At 38.0% G+C, this 20,383-nt stretch overlaps 1 protein-coding gene across 4 annotated transcripts in view; it reads right to left on the bottom strand.

Annotated features, from left to right (window-relative positions):
• The window catches only part of ZNF430 (zinc finger protein 430), a 39,394-nt gene that overhangs the window by 4,073 nt on the left and 14,938 nt on the right, over positions 1-20,383 (bottom strand). The gene's annotated exons all lie outside the window — the stretch shown is intronic.

The following is a 20,383-nucleotide window of genomic DNA, read 5'->3' as shown; positions in this document are numbered from 1 at the left end:
AAATACTGCCACATACATCTTTATTACTTGCTTCTAGGGACCTATCTATACACTGGTTTCTGTCTCCTATGACATCTAGTGCTGAAAGAAATGGTGGTATACTTTGGAATGACAGTTTAAGTCTGCTGAGACCAAAGCTAAATGTTACAGCAGCAGAGAGACTGCAGTGCCACACACAGAAAACAGGTGTAGCAAGTTATTACTATTAAGAAGAAACAAAAAAAGGCCAGTTGTGGTGGTTCATGCCTGTAATTCCAGTACTTTGGGAGGCCAAGGCTGGCGGATCACTTGAGGTCACAAGTTTGAGACCAGCCTGGCCAACATGGTGAAACTCCATCTCTACTAAAAAAACAAAAGAAAAGTTAGCCAGGTGTGATAGCGTACACCTGTATTCCCAGCTACTTGGGAGGCTGAGGCAGGAGAATCACTTGAACCCAGGTGGCGGAGGGTGCAGTGAGCCGAGATTGCGCCACTGCACTCCAGTCTGGGAGACAGAGCAAGACCCCGTCTGACAAAAAAACAAAAAACAAACAAAAAAAAAAACTAAAAAAAGAAGAAACACAAACTCTTTTAATTAAAAAATAAACACAAAATTGTAGACAAGACACATTCTAGCAACATGTTTGAGAGACTCCCAGTATCTCTAATCAAGACAATTGTCCAGACTATGCCAGGACAAAGCTACATTATAAGGATTGTGACAGGTAGCTTTTTTAAATGTACAAATTTCAATCAAAGATTACAATGTATACAAAATAAGGCAATATGGTTTTATCAAAAATATAAAAGTTTCAGAGAGAAACCATAAAAAATGTATATATTAATTTTAAAAATTGAAAACAAATTGAATAATACTCAGTGAGTGACACAGAAACATAGAGAACTACAGAAAATCAGAAAAATGAGGGTAAGAACAAAAATATGTAAAATACCAGAAAAACAGAAATTATGAAGGCAAAAAATACCAAAAAGACTAACTGAAAAATCCTGAAAGAAAAAATGACGGCCGGGCGCGGTGGCTCACGCCTGTAATACCAGCACTTTGGGAGGCTGAGACAGGTGCATCACGAGGTCAGGAGATTGAGACCATCCTGGCTAATACGGCGAAACCTTGTCTCTACTAAAAAAAGAAAAAATCAGCCGGGCGTGGTGGCGGGCGCCTGTAGTCCCAGCTACGCAGGAGGCTGAGGCAGGAGAATGGCGTGAACCGGGGAGGCGGAGCTTATAGTGAGCGGAGATGCGCCACTGCACTCCAGCCTGGGCGACAGAGCGAGACTCCGTCTCAAAAAAAAAAAAAAAAAAAAAAAAGACGTAAAAATGAAGAAGCTCAAAAAACAAACTAGGATACACACAAAGATATTTATAACAAACACATATATAAGCACAATTTCAAAAGTCACAGACAAAAACAGCCTCTTGGAAACTGCAAGATAAAAGTGATGTCATTTGCAAGCATAGTCTTATGACACAGCCAGTAAATTGTCAACAAAAATTTTGCAGGCCAGAAGGGTACTGTCTGATATAGTCAAAGTCCTGAAAAAAATAGCTATCAAGTGAGTATAATACCATCAGCAAATATGTCCTGCTAAATAAAAAAAAAAAACCTTAAAAAATAACCAAATTCTGAAAAAGTGCATTGGTACTCCGTATGCTCTACATATAAAAAGATGCTAAAAGCAGTTGCTTCTACTGAAAATAACATTATTCAATGAAACAACACATCATCATAGAAAAATACATTATTTTCTGGAAAAGATATGCACAAACACAAAAATTGAATTTTTAAGCATTATTATAATGGTGCAGAAAACATTTTTAATTATTTTCTAAAATTTGAAAGTTAAAAGCATAGAAATCATTATAAACATCTGTTAGTTAATATACAACATAAAAAATATAATTCAAACATCAATGAAAAATTTGAGGGCAGATGTAATGAGAAAAAATATTTGCATGTAACTGAAGTTTTTTTCTTTTTACCAGACTGAAATATATCGTTGTATCTTTTAGAGGTTTTATGTAATCCCCAAGATAGCACAAATAATATATTTGTATAGATACACAAACAAAATAAGAAAGAAGTAAAAGTATATCAACATAAAAACAAAAAAGACACAAATTAAGAGAGAAAATGAGAGACAAAGATACAAGAATCAAATACAACAATAAAATAACATTAATGTCTTTCTGTTTCAGAGTTTATATATATACACATACATATATATAACTAACTTTCCACTCAAGTGACATGAGTTCAATAAAGTGATTTATTAAAAAAATTTTTGGCTGGGCGCAGTGGCTCACGCCTGTAATCCCAGCACTTTCAGAGGCCAAGATGGGCGGATCGCCTGAGGTCAGGAGTTTGAGACCAGCCTGGCCAACATGGTGAAATCTCATCTCTAGCAAAAATACAAAAATTAGCTCAGTGTGGTGGTACCTGCCTGTAATCCCAGCTACTCGGGAGGCTGAGGCAGGAGAATCACTTGAACCTGGAAGGCGGAAGTTTCAGCGAGCCAAGATCATGCCATTGCACTCCAGCCTGGGCGACATAGTGAGACTTTGTATCAAAATAAATAAATAAATAAAAATAAAAAAACCAATGTAGAAAATAACCTATATGTGATGGTCCATTCTCAATTCTAAGTGCGTTAGTTTTAAGCAGGTTACATGGAAATAAAGACATAAAGAAGCAGAGTGTACTGAGTCATCACCCCCCTCCTTCCTGCCTTCTCTTTTACCCAGTAGCCAGGCGCCTATAGGTCAGGGTCCCCGCAACCACACCCCCTCCACCCCACCAAAAAATTTAGGTTAGTTTGCAACATAGATAATTGTACCCTTTCTTATCAGCTAAGTGCAGCCACTAGGGCCACAAATCAAATGTCTGAAGAGTCCTGAACAGTCGCGATGCATTTTGGGCTGCAACAAAATGCAACAAGACAACTCGTAAAAGAAACACCTAAAGCCCTTGCCAATAGGTGACATCTGGGAAGACTGTGACCCAATAGTAGTCAGCCTATGAGGAACCAGGGGGAGGGACCTGTGCACTAAGAGATAATTGTTTGTTGAAACTGTGCTGCGTGTGCCTGTATGCCAGACACTCAATCTTGCAAGACCGTCATTAAAAGTCTCACTTTCGCTGTTCTCCAGGTCCCTGAGTCCATTCTTTGGGTTTGGATAGGTGAGTTTGTTTCTCACACCAAGATGCAACTTGCCTTTCTACAAGACTCAGCTAAAATCTAATGACAAAAAAGGATTGAAAGTGGCAAGATGGATTTAGACATTCCATGCAAATATTAACCAAATGAGAGCAGAAGAGACCAAAATAATATTACACAAGCTACATCTTAAGTCAAAAACTGTCATAGTTTATAAAATGTACTTTAGGTCAAAACTGCAAAGAGACAAAGACATTAAACAATAATACATTCATTTACTGGGAACCTATGTATATATATGTGTGTGTGTGTGTTTGTATCTTACATTAAGTCTCCAAACATATAAAGCAAATATTGAAAGAATGGAAAAAACACTTAGACAGTAATATAATTATGGTAGGACATTTCAATACCCAACTTTCTGTAATAAAAATAACACAAGACAGAATATTAGTAAGTAAAGAGAGGACTTGAAGGCAGTATAAAACAACTATTTCTAACAGAGGTATAGAGAAGACACCTCAACAATATCAGGATGCATGCCCTTCTCAGTAGCTCATACAACATTCTCCTTGATAGACCACCTGGTAGGCAAAAAAAGAAGTCTTAACAAATTTTTTTAATTTTTAAGTTTTTAAAAACAATTTATGAATTACATTCTATGACCAAAATGAAATGAGTATAAAACAGACAAAAACTGAAAAATTTATAACTATATAGATATTAAACACATTCTCCAGCATGCTCCTGTTCAAAGGTTGAAATAATTAATATTTTGAAGACGTCCATACTGCTCAATGTAATACAGAGATTTAATGCAATTTTTTTTTTAATTTCTCATTGCATTTTTGAGGAAACAGAAACAGCAACTCCAAAAGTAGCATATGGACTCTCAAAAGACAATAAAGTACCCAAAGTATTCAAAAAAAGGAACAATGTTGAAGTCATTATAGTTCCTGATTTCAAAATACATTACAAAGTTACAGAATAAAAACAATTTGGTATGAGTATAATGGCTAAAAAGTGGACTAATAGGCTGGGTGCAGTGGCTCACGCCTATAATTCCAGCACTTTGGGGGGCCAAGGTGGGCGGATCATGAGGTCAAGAGATCGAGACCATCCAGGCCAACATAAAACCCCATCTCTACTAAAAATAAACAAATTAGCTGGGCTTGGTGGTACGAGCCTGTAGTCCCAGCTGCTCAAGAGGCTGAGGCAGGAGAATCACTTGAACCCGGGAGGTGGAGGTTGCAGTGCGCCGAGATCGCACCACTGCACTCCAGCCCGGGTGACAAAGTGAGACTGTCTCAAAACAAAGTGAACTAATAAAATAGAAGTTAGCACATATATAAATGTTCACATATATGGCCATATGAAGTTATTTGCATATCCATAATTATTGCAGCATTGCTACTGAAAGCCAGTAGGTAAAAGGAATGCAAATTTCTGTCACCAAATTATTCAGTAGATATAATTTAAAATATAAAAATACTGGAATATCACCTAGGACTTAAAAAGCCAAAAATATTCTAACAATTATAAAGATAAAGCTTGATGATATTATGCAAAATGAAATGAGCCAGCCACAAAAAGAGACTGTAGAAGATACATGAAACAGTTACACTCTTAGAAAGAGAAAACAGAGTGGTGCTTGCAAAGTGCCAGAAAGTCAGAAAAATTGGTTCTTGTTTAATGTGTATTGAGATTTAGCTTTGCAACATATAAATATTATAGGGATATGTTGCATAACATTGTCATATAATTAATATGACTAAACAGCATATTTTATTTTTTTCAGACGGAATCTTGCTCTGTTGCCCAGGCTGGAGTGAGGTGGCATGATCTCAGCTCACTGCAACCTCTACCTCCCGGGTTCAAGTGATTCTCCTGCCTCAGCCTCCCGAGTAGCTAGGACTACAGGCACTCGCCACCACACCCGGGTAGTTTTTGTATTTTTAGTAGAGACAGGGTTTCACCAAGATAGCCAGACTGGTCTTGAACTCCTGACCTCGGGCAATCCTCCCACCTTGTCCTCCCAAAGAGCTGGGATTACAGGCATGAGCCACTGCACCTGGCCTAAACAGCATATTTTAAAATGTTTGATAATAAATTTTGTTATGTGGTTCTGACAAGTAAAAATAAACAATAATACCTAAAAAAGACACAAAGTTATGATAGTTTGTATATAATCTTCAAATCCAAGAGTGTTTCTTCCACACAAAAATAATATAGATTCACAATAGATATTGAAATTAGGAGATGACTGCTCACCTAGACAAGATTGAACAACCACTCACAACAAACCTACATAACAAATATACAAGTCATAAAAAATACAGAGAGAATATTTATACAGGGAAAAAGAGATAATTATATTGGCAATAGACATATGGCTGATTTATATTTGATTTTGCTCCAAACTGCCTTAAATTGTACAGAGTTAAACATTGTCATACACAATTACAATATAAACTAAAACATCAAAACACAGTTAATTGGTATGAGGTGGCATACCCTAAAATATATAACATAAAAATATAAAATTGCAAAACAAAAGAAAAATATGGAATGTAAAACTTATTGGACACCATCAAGTCCATCAATATATTCATGAAATAAATCTTAGAAGAATATAGGGGGGCTGGGCACAGTGGCTCATGCCTGTAATCCCAGCACTTTGGGAGGCCGAGGCAGGCGGATCACACAGTCAGGAGATCGAGACCGTCCTGGCTAAGACGGTGAAACCCTGCCTCTACTGAAAAAATACAAAAAATTAGCCAGGTGTGGTGGTGGGCGCCTGTGGTCCCAGCTACTCGGGAGGCTGAGGCTGAGATCGAGCCACCGCACTCCAGCCTGGGTGACAGAGAGAGACTCTGTCTCAAAAAAAAAAAAGAGAAGAATAATGTAGGGAAAAAGTAATACAGAGGTAAATTAAAGAAAACGAAAGCTGAGAACTTCCCAAATTTTGATGTAATAAAAAATTCTAACCAATAATATTTAATTCAAAGTTATTTTACTTGAAAAACAAAATAAAAATACAGACTTTCCTAAATTAAATTTCAGGGTGTTCACTATAAGAAATGTTACACGAAATGTAACAAGAAATGTTACACGAAATGTAACAAGAAATGTTGCACGAAATGTAACAAGAAATGTTGCAGGAAACGTAACAAGAAATGTTGCACGAAATGTAACAAGAAATGTTACATGGTGGCCAGACATAGTGGCTCATGCCTGTAATTCTACAGCTTTAGGAAGCCAAGGCAGTCAGATCTCTTGAGACCAGGAGTCCAAGATCCAGTCTGAGAAACACAGACTCTGCATATAAACAAATAGAAATGCTAAAATGAATCCATTTTGTTGAAAAATAAAATGATGCTAGACAGCATCATAAAACCATATATAAAGCTCCCTATTAAATATAAATATACAGATACATATAGAATTTTTTACTATCATAATGGTGCATAAAACCGTTAAAGTTCTGTAGATATAAAAATACAAGATATAAATCTGTTAATAGATACATAATATAATTTGTAGTATCAATAACAAACTGGAAAACATAGCAGTATAGGTTTTGTATTTAATTAAAGTTTAAGAAGTTAAAATATATCTTTTTTACTTTTTTTTTTTTTTTTTTTTTTTTGAGATGGAGTCTTGCTCTGTCACCCAGGCTGGAGTGCAGTGGCGCAATCTCGGCTCACTGCAACCTCTGTCATCTGGGTTCAAGTGATTATCCTGCCTCAGTCTCAGATGTCCTCCACCACATACCTAATTTTTGTATTTTTAGTAGAGACAGTTTCACCATGTTGGCCAGGCTGGTCTCAAACTCCTGACCTCAGGTGATCTATCCATCTCAGCCTCCCAAAGTGTTGGGATTACAGGTGTGAGCCACCATGCTTGGCCTTATTTTTTTAACTTTAAGATATTTTATGCCCCATCTGGGAGGGAGGTGGGGGGCAGCCCCTGCCCGGCCAGCCACCCCGTCCAGGAGGGAGGTTGGGGCCAGCACCCGCCCGGCCAGCCGCCCCGTCCGGGAGGTGGGGGGCGCCTCTGCCCGGCCGCCCCTTCTGGGAAGTGAGGAGCCCCTCTGCCCAGCCGCCACCCCGTCTGGGAGGTGTACCCAACAGCTCATTGAGAACGGGCCATGATGACGATGGCGGTTTTGTCGAATAGAAAAGGGGGGAATGTGGGGAAAAGATAGAGAAATCAGATTGTTGCTGTGTCTGTGTAGAAAGAAGTAGACATAGGAGACTCCATTTTGTTCTGTACTAAGAAAAATTCTTCTGCCTTGGGATGCTGTTAATCTATAACCTTACCCCCAACCCCATGCTCTCTAAAACATGTACTGTGTCCACTCAGGGTTAAATGGATTAAGGGCGGTGCAAGATGTGCTTTGTTAAACAGATGCTTGAAGGCAGCATGCTCGTTAAGAGTCATCACCACTCCCTAATCTCAAGTACCCAGGGACACAAACACTGCGGAAGGCCGCAGGGTCCTCTGCCTAGGAAAACCAGAGACCCTTGTTCACTTGTTTATCTGCTTACCTTCCCTCCACTATTGTCCTATGACCCTGCCAAATCCCCCTCTGCGAGAAACACCCAGGAATGATCAATAAATACTAAAAAAAAAAAAAAAAAAAAAAAAAAAAAAAAGATGTTTTATGTAATCTCCATTTTAAGATGATTACATTATACTTCAAGGTGATTACATAATATTTATAAAAAGTATGCAAAAAATGAAAAAATAATCAAAGCATGTAACGATAAAGTTAACAAAAATAAAGGTAGTAAAACAGGAAATGAGAAAAAACTTATCTACAAGAAATACATAAAACAGGAACAATGAGGTGGTTTCTGCAGATCAGCAGACTTAGTCTTTCCCCCTGCTGGCTCTGAGCAATCCAGGCAGTACAGATGTATGGAATTTCCCTCAGTGCAGCACAGCCACTCCACCAAGGTGCAGCCAGAGTGCTTTCTTAAGTGGTTCCCAGATCTCATGCATCCTGACTGGGTGAGACCCCCACAACAGACATCGTCAGACAACTTATAAAGTAGTGTTCCCACTGTCATCAGATCATTCCCCTTCTGGGACAAAGACCCCAGAGGAAGGAGCAAGCAGTCCTCTCTGCTATTCTGCAGGCTCCACTGGTTGACACCTCCAGGTGTGAGAGAAACCCAGGCAAATAGGGTCTGAAGTAGATCCCAAGCAAATCACAACAGTGCTACAGAAAAGTGGCCTGATGGTTAGAAAAACAAACAGAAAGCAACAACAAAAACAGCATGAACAAAAAAATCCTCACAAGCATCCCATCCAAAGGTCAGCAGCCTCAAAGATCGAAGCTAGAAAAACTCACAAAGATGAAAAGAATAAACCAAAAAATGCTGAAAACTTAAAAAGCCAGAGTGCCTCCTTTCCTCCAAATGATCCCAGCATATCTCCAGGAAGGGCACAGAACTGGGCGGTGGCTAAGGTGGATAAATTGACAAAAGTAGGCTTCAGAAGGTGGGTAATGATGAACTTTGCTGAGCTAATGGAGTATGTTCTAACCCAATGCAAAGAAGCTAAGAACCATGAAAAACATTACAGGAGCTGTTAACCAAAACAACCAATTTAGAGAGGAACATAAATGACCTGATGGAACTGAAAAACACAGCATCAGAACTTCACAACGCAACCACAAGTATCAATAACTGAGTAGACGAAGCAAGGAAAGAACTTCAGAGCTTGAAGACAATCTTGCTGAAATAAAACAGGCAGACAAGATTGAAGAAAAAAGAATAAACGGGAATGAGAGAAATCTCTGAGGTCTATGAGATTATGTAAAAAGACCGAACCTATGACTGACTGGGGTACCTTAAATAGATAGGGAGAATGGAACCAAGTTAGAAAACATCCTTCAGGATATCATCCAGAAGAACTTTTCCAACCTAACAAGAAAGGCCAACATTCAAATTCAGAAAATCCAGAAAACCCCAGTAAGATACTCCATGAGAAGATCATCCCCAAGACACATAATAATCAGATTCTTCAAGATTGAAATTCAGGAATAAATGATAAGGCAGCCAGAGAGAAACGCCACATCACCTATAGACAAAAGTTCATCAGACTGACAACAGACCTTTAAGCAGAAACCCTACAAGCCGTAAGAGATTGGGGGCCACTACTCAACATTCTTAAAGAAAAGAATTTCCAACCAAGAATATCCAGGAAAACTAAGCTTCATAAGTAAAGGAGGAATAAAATCATTTTCAGACAAGTAAACGCTGAAGGAATTCATCACCACCAGGCCTGCCTTGCAAGAGCTCCTGAAAGAAGCACTAAACATGGAAAGAAAAAAACCATTACTAGCCACTACAAAAACACACTGAAGTACAAAGACCAATGACACTATGAAAAAACTACATCAAAGAGTCTTCAAAATAACCAGATAGCACCATGAAAACATAATCAAATTCACACATAGCAATATTAACCTTAAACTTTTTTTTTTTTTTTTTTTGAGATGGAGTCTTGTTCTGTCACCCAGGCTGGAGTGCAGTGCACAATCTTGACTAACTGCAACATCTGCCTCCCAGGTTCAAGCAATTCTGCCTCAGCTTCCTGAGCAGCTGGGATTACAGATGAGCACTACCATGACAGGCTAATTTTTATATTTTTAGTAGAGGCGGGGTTTCACCATGTTGGCCAGGCTGGTCATGAACTCCTGACCTCAGGTGATTCACCTGCCTCAGCCTCCCAAAGTGCTGGGATTACAGGCATAAGCCACCGTGGCTGGCCTAATCTTAAATTTAAATGGGCTAAATGCCCTCATTAAAAGACACAGAATGTCAAGCTGATTAAAGAGTCAAGACCCATTGGTGTGCCATATTCAAGAAACCCATCTCACATGCAAAGACACACACATGCTTAAAATGAAGGAATGGAGGAAAATTCACCAAGCAAATAAAAGAAGAAAAAAGGAGGAGTTGCAATTGTAGTTTCTGACAAAATAGACTTTAAACCAACAAAGATCAAAACAGAAAAAGAAGGGCATTACATAATGCTAAAGGAATCAATTCAAGGAGGACCCAGATTTATAAAACACATTATTAGAGACCTACAAAGGGACTTAAACAAACTCCCACACAATAATAGTGGGAGACTTTAACACCCTACTGCCAATATTAGACCAACAATTGAGACAGAAAAGTAACAAAGATATTCAGGACTTGAACTCAGCTTTGGGTCAAATGGACCTGATAGATATCTACAGAACTCTCCAGCCAAAAACAACACAATACACATTCTCCTAAGTGTCACATGGCACTTACTTTAAAATTGATCACATAATTGGAAGGAATACTCCTTAGCAAATGCAAAAGAACTGAAATCATAACAGTCTCTCAGACCACAGTGCAATCAAATTGGAACTCAAGAGTAAGAAACTCACTCAAAACCACACAAGTACATGGAAATTGAACAACCTGCTCCTGAATGACTTCTGGGTAAATAATAAAATTAAATCAGAAACCAAGAAATTCTTTGAAACCAATGAGAACAAAGAGACTATGTACTAGAATCTGTAGAATGCAGCTAAAGCAGTGTTAAGGGGAAAATTTATAGCACTACATAGCCACAGCAAAAAGCTGGAAAGATCTCAAAATGACACCCTAACATTACAATTAAAAGAACAAGAGAATCAAGAGCAAACAAACCCCAAAGCTAACAGAAGACAAGACATAAGAAGAATCCAAGTGAAACTGAAAGAGATAGAGACACAAAAAACCCTTCAAAAAACCAATAAATCCAGGAGCTATTTTTTTTGAAAACATTAATAAAATAGAACACTAACTAGAGTAATGGAGAACAAAAGAGAGAAGAAGAAATAGACACAATACAAAATCATAAAGAGGATATCACCACTGACCCCACAGAAATACAAACCATCAGAAAATACTATAAACACCTGTATGCACATAAACTGAAAAAGCTAGAAGAAGTAGATAAATTACTGGACACAAACACCCTCCCAAGACCAAACCAGGAAAAATTTGAATCCTGAATAGACCAATAAGAAGTTCTGGAATTGAGGAAGTAATAAATAGCCTACAAACTAAAAATGCCCAGAGGCAGATGGATTTACAGCTGAATTCTACCAGAGGTACAAAGAGGAGTTGGTACCATTTCTTCTGAAACTATTCCAAATGATAGAAAAAGAGGGACTCCACTCTAACTCATTTTATAAGATCAGCATCATTCTGATACCAAGATCTGGCAAAGATATAACAACAACAAGAAACTTCAAGCCAATATCCCTGATAAACATTGATGCAAAAATTCTCAATAAAACACTGGCAAACCAAATCCAGCAGCACATCGAAAAGCTTATCCACCGCGATCAAGTCAGCTTCATCCCTGGGATGCAAGGCTATTTCAACATAAACAAATCAATAAATACAATTCATCATATAAACAGAACTAAAAACAAAATCCATATGATTATCTCAATAGATGCAGAAAAGGTCTTTGATTAAATTCAACATACCTTCATGTTAAAAATGCTCAATAAACTAGGTATTTATGGAACATACCTCAAAATAATAAGAGTCATTTATGATGAACCCACAGCCAGTATCATACCGAAAGGGCAAAAGCTGGAAGCATTCCCCTTGAAAACTGGCACAACAAGAAGGCCCTCTCTCACCACTCTTATTCAACGTAGTATTGGAAGTTCTGGCCAGGAAAATCAGGCAAGAAAAATAAATAAGGGGTATTCAAATAGGAAGTCAAACTGTCTGTGTTTGCAGATGACATGATCCCATATCTAGAATGCCCCAATGTCAGCCCAAAAGCTTCTTCAGCTAATAAGAAGCTTCAGCAAAGTCTCAGGATACAAAATCAATGTGCAAAAATTACAAGCATTTCAATACATTAACAGTAAACAAGCAGAGAGCCATATCATGAACGAACCTCCATCCACAATTGCTACAAAAAGAATAAAATACCTAGGAATACAGCTAACAAAGTAAGTGAAGGACCTCTTTAAGGAAAACACAAACCACTGCTCAAGAAAATCAGAGAGGACACAAACAAATGGAAAAGATAGAAATAATCAATATTGTAAAAACGGCCATACTGCCAAAAGTAATTCAATGCTTATCCCACTAAACTATTACTGACATCTTTCACAGAATTAGAAAAAACTATTTTAAAATTCATATGGAACCCAAAAGACCCCATATAGCCAAGAAAATTCTAAGCAAAAAGAACAAAGCTGGAAGCATCATGCTATCTGACTTCAAACTACACCACAAGGCTATAGTAACCAAAACATCCTGGTACTGGTATAAAAACATACACATAGACCAATGAAAAAGAATGCAGAACTCAGAAATAAGACTGCTTATCTACAACCATCTGATCTTTGAAAAATCTGACAAAAACAAGCAATGAGGAACAAACTCCCTATTTAATGAATGGTGCTGGGAGAATTGGCTAGCCCTATGCAGAAAACTGAAACTGGAACCCTTCCTTACACCTGTACAAAAGTTAACTCAAGATGGATTAAAGACTTAAATATGAAACCAAAAACTATAAAAACGTTAGAAGAAAATCTAGGCAATACCATTCAGGACATAGGCATGGACAAAGATTTCATCATGAAAACGTCAAAAGCAACTGCAACAAAAGCAAAACTTGACAAATAGAATCTAATTAAACTAAAAACCTTCCGCACAACAACAAAAAAACTATCATCAGAGTGAACAGACAACCTAAGAATCGGAGAACATTTTTGCAACCTATTCATCTGACAAACGTTAATATCCAGAGTCTAAAAGGAACTTAAGCAAATTTACAAGAATAAAACAACCCCATTAAAAAGTGGGCAAAGAACATGGACACTTCTCAAAAGAATAAATTTATGTGGCCAAGAAACAAACAAAGCTCAACATCAGGGATCGTTAGAGAAATGCAAATCAAAACCAGAATTACATACCATCTTATGCCAGTAAGAATAGTGGTTATTTTTTTCTAAATTTTTTTTTTTTTTTAGATGGAGTCTCACTCTTTGCCCAGGCTAGAGTGCAGTGGCGCGATCTCGGCTCACTGCAAGCTCTGCCTCCCAGGTTCACGCCATTCTCCTACCTCAGCCTCCCAAGTAGCGGGGACCACAGGCGTCCGCCACCACGCCCAGCTAATTTTTTATATTTTTAGCAGGGACGGGGTTTCACCGTGTTAGCCAGGATGGTGTCAATTTCCTGACCTTGTGATCCTCCTGCCTCGGCACCCCCAAAGTGCTGGGATTACAGGTGTGAGCCACCGTGCCCGGCCAAGAATCGTGATTATTAAAAAGTCAAGAAACAACAGATGCTGATGAGGCTGTGGAGAAATAGAAATACTTTTACACTGTCGGTGAGAATGTAAATTAGTTCAATCATTGTGGAAGACACTATGGGAATTCCTCAAGGACCTAGAAACAGAAATACCATTTGACCCAGCAACCCCATTACTGGGTATATACCCAAAGGAATATAAATAATTCTGTTATAAAGATATGTGGATGTGTATGTTCATTGCAGCACTATTTACAATAGCAAAGACATGGAATCAACCCACATGCCCATCAATAATAGACTGGATAAAGAAAATGTGGTACATATACACTATGGAATACTATGCAACCATAAAAAAGAATAAGAGCATGTAGTTTGCAAAGGCATGGATAAAGCTGAAAGCCATTATCCTCAGCAAACTAATGCAGGAACACAAAACCAAACACCACATGTTCTCACTCGTAAGTGAGAGCCGAACAATAAGAACACATGGGCTGGGCACGGTGGCTCATGCCTGCAATTTCAGCACTTTGGGAGGCTGAGGTGGGCAGATCACGAGGTCAGGAGATCAAGACCATCCTGGCCAGTGTGGCGAAACCCCATCTCTACTAAAAATTCAAAAATTAGCTGAGAATGGTGGTGCATGCCTGTAATCCCAGCTACTTGGGAGGCTGAGGCAGGAGAATCGCTTGAACCAGGGTATCAGAGTTTGCAGTGAGCTGAGATCATGCCACAGCACTCCAGCCTGGCGACAGAGCAAGACTCTGTCTCAACAACAACAAAAACAAAAACAAACATGGACACATAGAGGGGAACAACACACACTGGAACCTGTCAGAGTAGGGGAAACAGCATCAAGATAAACAGCTAATGCATGCAGGGCTTCACACCTAAGTGATGAATTGATAGGTGCAGTAAACCACCATGGGACATGTTTACCTATGTAACAAACTTGTAAATCCTGTACATGTATCCCAGAACACACAAAAAATAATATTTAAACAAAACAATAACAATGAAACTGGTAATAGTAACTTTATTTCTTTAAGCAATCATTTTAAATATAAATTAATTAAACTACTTAATAAAAAAAAGTAATCTCAGGACTTTGGGAGGCCCAGAGGGGCTGATTACTTTAACTCAGGAGTCTGAGACCAGACTGGAGAACATGGCAAAATTCTGTCCCTACAAAAACAAAAACAAAAACAATAAAATGAGCTGGGCGTGACGACACACATTTGCAGCCCAGCTACTTGGAAGCTGAGATGAGATCATCTGAGTTTGGGAGGTTGAGGCTGCAGCGAGCTGTAATCATGCCACTGCAAACCAGCTTGGTTGACAGAATGAGACTCTATCTCAAAAATAGATAAATTTATAAAAAGAAAAAGAAATAAGATGCCTGAGTAGTTTAAGTAAAAAAGCATACAATACGCTGTCTATAACAGACTCATTTTAGCATTGAGTCAAATAGGCTGAAAGTAATAGAATGAAAAGAATCTATATTACATGCAAATAGTAACCATAATTGGGTGAGGTGGCAGTAATTATATTGAATATAATATGCTTTAAGTCAAGTACTAACATGAGACAAACACTGATATTATATAATGGCCAAATGGGTCAAGAATCTATAACTATCATATCTATCTATTTATGTTTATATGTATATGTATATATAACATCAGGACTCCAATATATATAAAGCATATTTTGGCAAAGGTAAAGCAAGAAATATACAGCAACACAATAATTGTAGACATCAAGATCCCATTTGCAATAATAAATAGAAAATTTAGATAAAAGATCAGTAAGAAAACAGACAACATTATAGACTGTATTAACTATTTTGCATATAGACAAATAACTGAGAGTGGATAAATTATAAAGTAAAAAGGTTTATTTGGTTTACAGTTTGGCAGACTGTATAAGAAGTGTGTGCCAGTATCTGCTTCTGGTGAGGGTCTCAGGAAACTTATAATCTTAGTGGAAGGCAGAGTAGCTGGACATATCACATGGTAAGAGACAGAGCAAGTGTGAGGTGAAGGAGACAGGTTATTTTAATGAACCAGCTCTCATTTGAATTAATGTAGTGAAAACTTTCTGATTACTAAAAGAATGGTGCCATGGCATTTATGAGAATTAGTCCCCATGACCCAAACACCTCCTACCAGGTTCCACATCCAACATTGTGTATTACATTGCAGCATGAGCCTTGCAGAACATGGACATCCAAACTGTACCACAGACCAAATAGGCTTAACAGCATGTACAAAACTTTCCAGTTAAAAGCAAGAGAATACACAATATTTTTATTTGGATGTGATATATTCTGTTAGGACACATAACAAGTCTTATTAAAGAATACCACCTGGGAGTAGTGGCTGATACATCTAATCCCAACAATTTGGAAGATGAAGGTGGGAGGATCACTTGGGACCAGAAGTTTGATACCAGACTGAATAATATAGTGAGACTCTGTCACTACAAAAAAATCAAAAAATTAGCGAGGCACGGTAGTGCATGTCTGTAGTCTCAGCTACTTAGGAGGAAGAAAAGATCACCTGAGTCAAGGAGACTGAGGTTGCAGTGAGCCAAAATTATGCCACTATACTCCAGCCTGGGTGACGGAGTATGATCCTGTTTCAAAACAACAACAAATAAATATAAGAAAACCAAAATCATACACTGTGTGTTTTCTGACCAAAACTGAATGAAACTAAAAATTAAAAGCAAAAGTAGGCCGGGTGCGGTGGCTCACACCTGTAATGCCAGCACTTTGGGAGGCCAAGGTGGGTGGATCACCTGGGGTTAGGAGTTCAAGACCAACCTGGCCAACATAGTGAAAACCTGTCTCTACAAAAATACAAAAATTAGCCGGGCATAATGGTGGGTGCCTGTAATCCCAGCTACTTGGGAGGCTGAGGCGGGAGTATTGCTTGAACCTGTGAGGCGGAGTTTGCAGTGAGCCAAGATCACACCATTGCACCCCAGCCTGGGCAACAGAGTGAGACTCTGTCTCAGTAAAATAAATAAATAAATAAATAAATAAATAAATAGCAAAAGTAAAACTGTTAAATCCAATAATATATTTGAAAAAAAAAAACACATGGGCCGAGTGTAGTGGCTCACGGCTATAATACTAGCACTTTCAGAGGCCAAGGCAAGAAAATTGCTTGAGTCCAGGAGTTCCAAACTAGCATGGGCAACATAGGAAGACCCTGTCTCTAAAAATAAAAATAAATAAAATAAAAATAAGGCCAAGCATGGTGGCTCATGCCCGTAATCCCAGCACTTCAGGAGGCTGGTGTGGGCGAATCACTTGAGGTCAGGAGTTTGAGACCAGCCTGGCCAACATGTGAAGCCCCGTCTCTACTAAAAATACAAAAGTTAGCCAGGCATGGTGGTGGGCACCTGTAATCCCAGCTACTCAGGAGGCTGAGGCAGGAGAATTCCTTGAACCCGGGAGGCGGAGGTTGAAGTGAGCCGAGACCATGCCATTGCACTCCAGCCTGGATGACAGAGAGAGACTCTGTCTCGAATCAATCAGTCAATCAAACACACTCTTCAGCTAAAGGTTCAAAAAGTTTAATTTAGTTAAGTTGTCAATACAACCTACAGTGGTGAACAAATTCAATATAACCTCTATAAAAATGACAATAGCACAGTTTTATTACACAAATATTGTTTAAAATTTTTAAATTTCATTATGAACTATAGCCAAACACCCATGAAAAAGAATAAACAGGCATTATACTTCCTGATTTTTAAACATATTAGGCAGGGTGCAGTGGCTCACGCCTGTAATGCCAGCACTTTGTGAGGCCAGGGTGGGGGATCACCTGAGCTCAGGAGTTTGAGACCAGCCTGGTCAACATTGTGAAACCCCCGTCTCTACTAAAAATACAAAAATTAGCCAGGCGTGGTAGTGCACGCCTGTAACCTCAGCTACTTGGGGGACTGAGGCAGAATAATCGCTGAAACCCAGGAGGAGGAGGTTGCAGTGAGCTGAGATCGAGCCACTGCACTCCAGCCTGGGCGACAGAGCCAGACTCCATCTCAAAAATAATAATAAAAAATTAGAAGCTACAGTAACAAAAACAGTGTAATATTGACACAAAGGCAGATGAACAGATGAAAGAACAAAATATGGAGCCCAGAAATGAAACCTTTTATATATAATCAAATGATCTACAAAGCTGCCAAGAGGAAACAATAGTCTTTTAAAAAACAATGTTAAAAACTAAATATCAATACTGATAAAATAAGGTTGGATCATTTCTTTGAATCATATACAAAAATATTTTAAGTAAAATACTTAGACATAAAAAAACTAATAAGTCTCTTAGAAAAAAATAGAAAGAAGACATGACATTGGTCTTGGCACCATTTTCTTAGATAAGACACTAAATGCCTGAGGAACAACAACAAAAAATTAACTATGCTATACTTCAAAATTTCTGCACATTAAAACAAAACATTTAACTCAGTGAAAATGCCTCCGAGAAAATGGGTAAGAATATTTCCAAATTACATGTCACAGTTAATATTCAGAATATATAAAAAACCCTTAAAACTAAGTTAAATAACTTGATTTGAAAATTAACAATTGAACTAAATTTTTATCATAAAAGATACACAAATGGAAAAAGCATTTGAAATGACATGCAAAATTAATAATTTGTAGAGAAACACATAAAAATAACAATGAAAAATGAAATCATGTCATACCCATTACAATGGCCACTATAAATTATTTAAAAACACCAAATCTGTTGATGATGCAATGAAAATAAAACCTATGTCAATTGTTGGTAGAAAACAAAGATGCAGTCATTATTTTTAAATGTTATAAATGTTTCTCAAGTAATTAAAAATGGAATTATCATCAAATACAGCAATCCTCTTTATCAATTTAAAATATGCAACACATGACCTGGAAGACATATTTGAACATCCATGTTTATTGTACTAGTATTCACAAAAGCTAAAAGGCTGCAGCAACCCAGGTGTCTCTTGATTTATAAGCATATCAAAAATGTAACATATGTGTAGAGCGAAATATTATTCAGTCTTAAAAAACAAAATCTTGCCAAGCGTGTGACTCACACCTGTAATCCCAGCACTTTGGGAGGCCGAGGATGGCAGATCACCTGAGGTCAGGAGTTTGAGACCAGCCTGACCAACATGGTTAAACCCTCTCTCTACTAAAAATAAGAAAAAAATTAGCTGGGCATGGTGGCACATGCCTGTAGTCCCAGCTACTCGGGAGGCTGAGGCAGGAGAATCGCTTGAACCAGGGAGGCAGAGGTTGCAGTGAGCCGAGATTGCGTCATTGCACTCCAGCCTGGGTGACAGGAGACTCCGTCTCAAAAATAAAAAAAAAAAAAAAAAAGAAAATCTTGTCACATTTTAAGATAAACTTTGAGAATATTATGTCACCTGAAATAAGCCAGTAACGAAATGATGGATACAGTATGATTCCACTGATATGGGATATTTTAATTAGTCACACTCATAAAAACAGAAAGTGGAAGGGTGTTTGTCAAGGGCTGGAAAGAGGGTAAAATGGGTTGCTGTTATTTAATGGGTATTGAGTTTTAGTTTCACAAAATGTAAAATATCTAAGTCTTTTGCATAACAATGTGAATATAATTAACATGCCTGCCTGAAATGTAGAGCTGTGGTTTTTTTTTTTTTTTTTGGAGACACAGTCTCACTCTGTCAAAAAGCTGGAGTGCAGTGGTACAATTATGGCTCACTTCGGCCTCAAACTCTGAGGCTCAAGTAACCCTCCCACCTCAGTCTTGCAAGTAGCCTGAACCACAGATGCACAACACTATGCCTGGCTATTTTTAAAAAACATTTTGTAGAGAGGGACTCTCCATATGTTTCCCAGGTTGGTCTCAAACTTTTGAGCTCAAATAATCCTGGATTACAGATGTGAGCCACCACCATGTCTGGCCCTAAAAGGTACACCTAAATAGATTTAAGATGGTAAATATTATGTGTTTTTACAACAATTAATTTTTCTAAAGGAAAAACTGAAAAAAATACAGATTTATAAATCTTTTCAAAAATTACCTTCAAATTACAAAAGTGTTTCTCTCACACAAAGGTGAGAGAAACATCATCATTAAACACATGGTGAAAATAAGAGATGGTGAAAATATTTCCATGACTACTCACTTAGGTGAGATAAAACAACCACTGAAAATTGGCTAAGAAAGAATATATACAAGATAAGCCATAACCAATATTGGGGTCATATTTATAGATAAACACACACACACATATATATCTAATTGTGACAGACATATGGCTGATTTATCTCTTAATTATAAGAGATAAACCGAATTGCAAACTGTCTAAAATTATAATACAAAAGTGAAACAAAAAAACACAATAACTCAATGTTAAGAAACCTACACTAACAAAACACTGATATGAAACTGCGCAGTAATAGTAAGTGACATATTTACTCATAAAATCTGCTGTGCAACACTGATATACCATTAAAAAAGAATTTGTCTGCATAACTACAGTAATCCTCTCCGGTACTCAATAAACGCCATACTCATTCACATCCTGATATAAGGACCATTATATATGAACCTGACTGCAGAAACCTGCCCTATTGTCTGCTCTACAGATCAAAGTGTTGAAGGATATTCAGTCTGTCCAAAAATAAAATGGGAATTACCACTACCCAAGCCCCTGTAACAAGCCAACTAAAGGTGGACCCTAGTGCAGACCCAGCAGCCTTGTGACCAAGCTACACCCCCTCTCCACTACAAACCCAGAGAGCATTCTATGACCCTGGAGACATGACAGAAAAAGATCTTTACCTACTGAAACCAGTTTATAGAAGCTTGAGGAGTTGTTTGCTCCTTCAAATTCACAGACACTAAT

Source organism: Homo sapiens, chromosome 19 (assembly GCF_000001405.40).
Source record: "Homo sapiens chromosome 19, GRCh38.p14 Primary Assembly".
Taxonomy (NCBI): Eukaryota; Metazoa; Chordata; class Mammalia; order Primates; family Hominidae; genus Homo; species Homo sapiens.
This window is presented reverse-complemented; position numbering and strand designations above follow the sequence as displayed.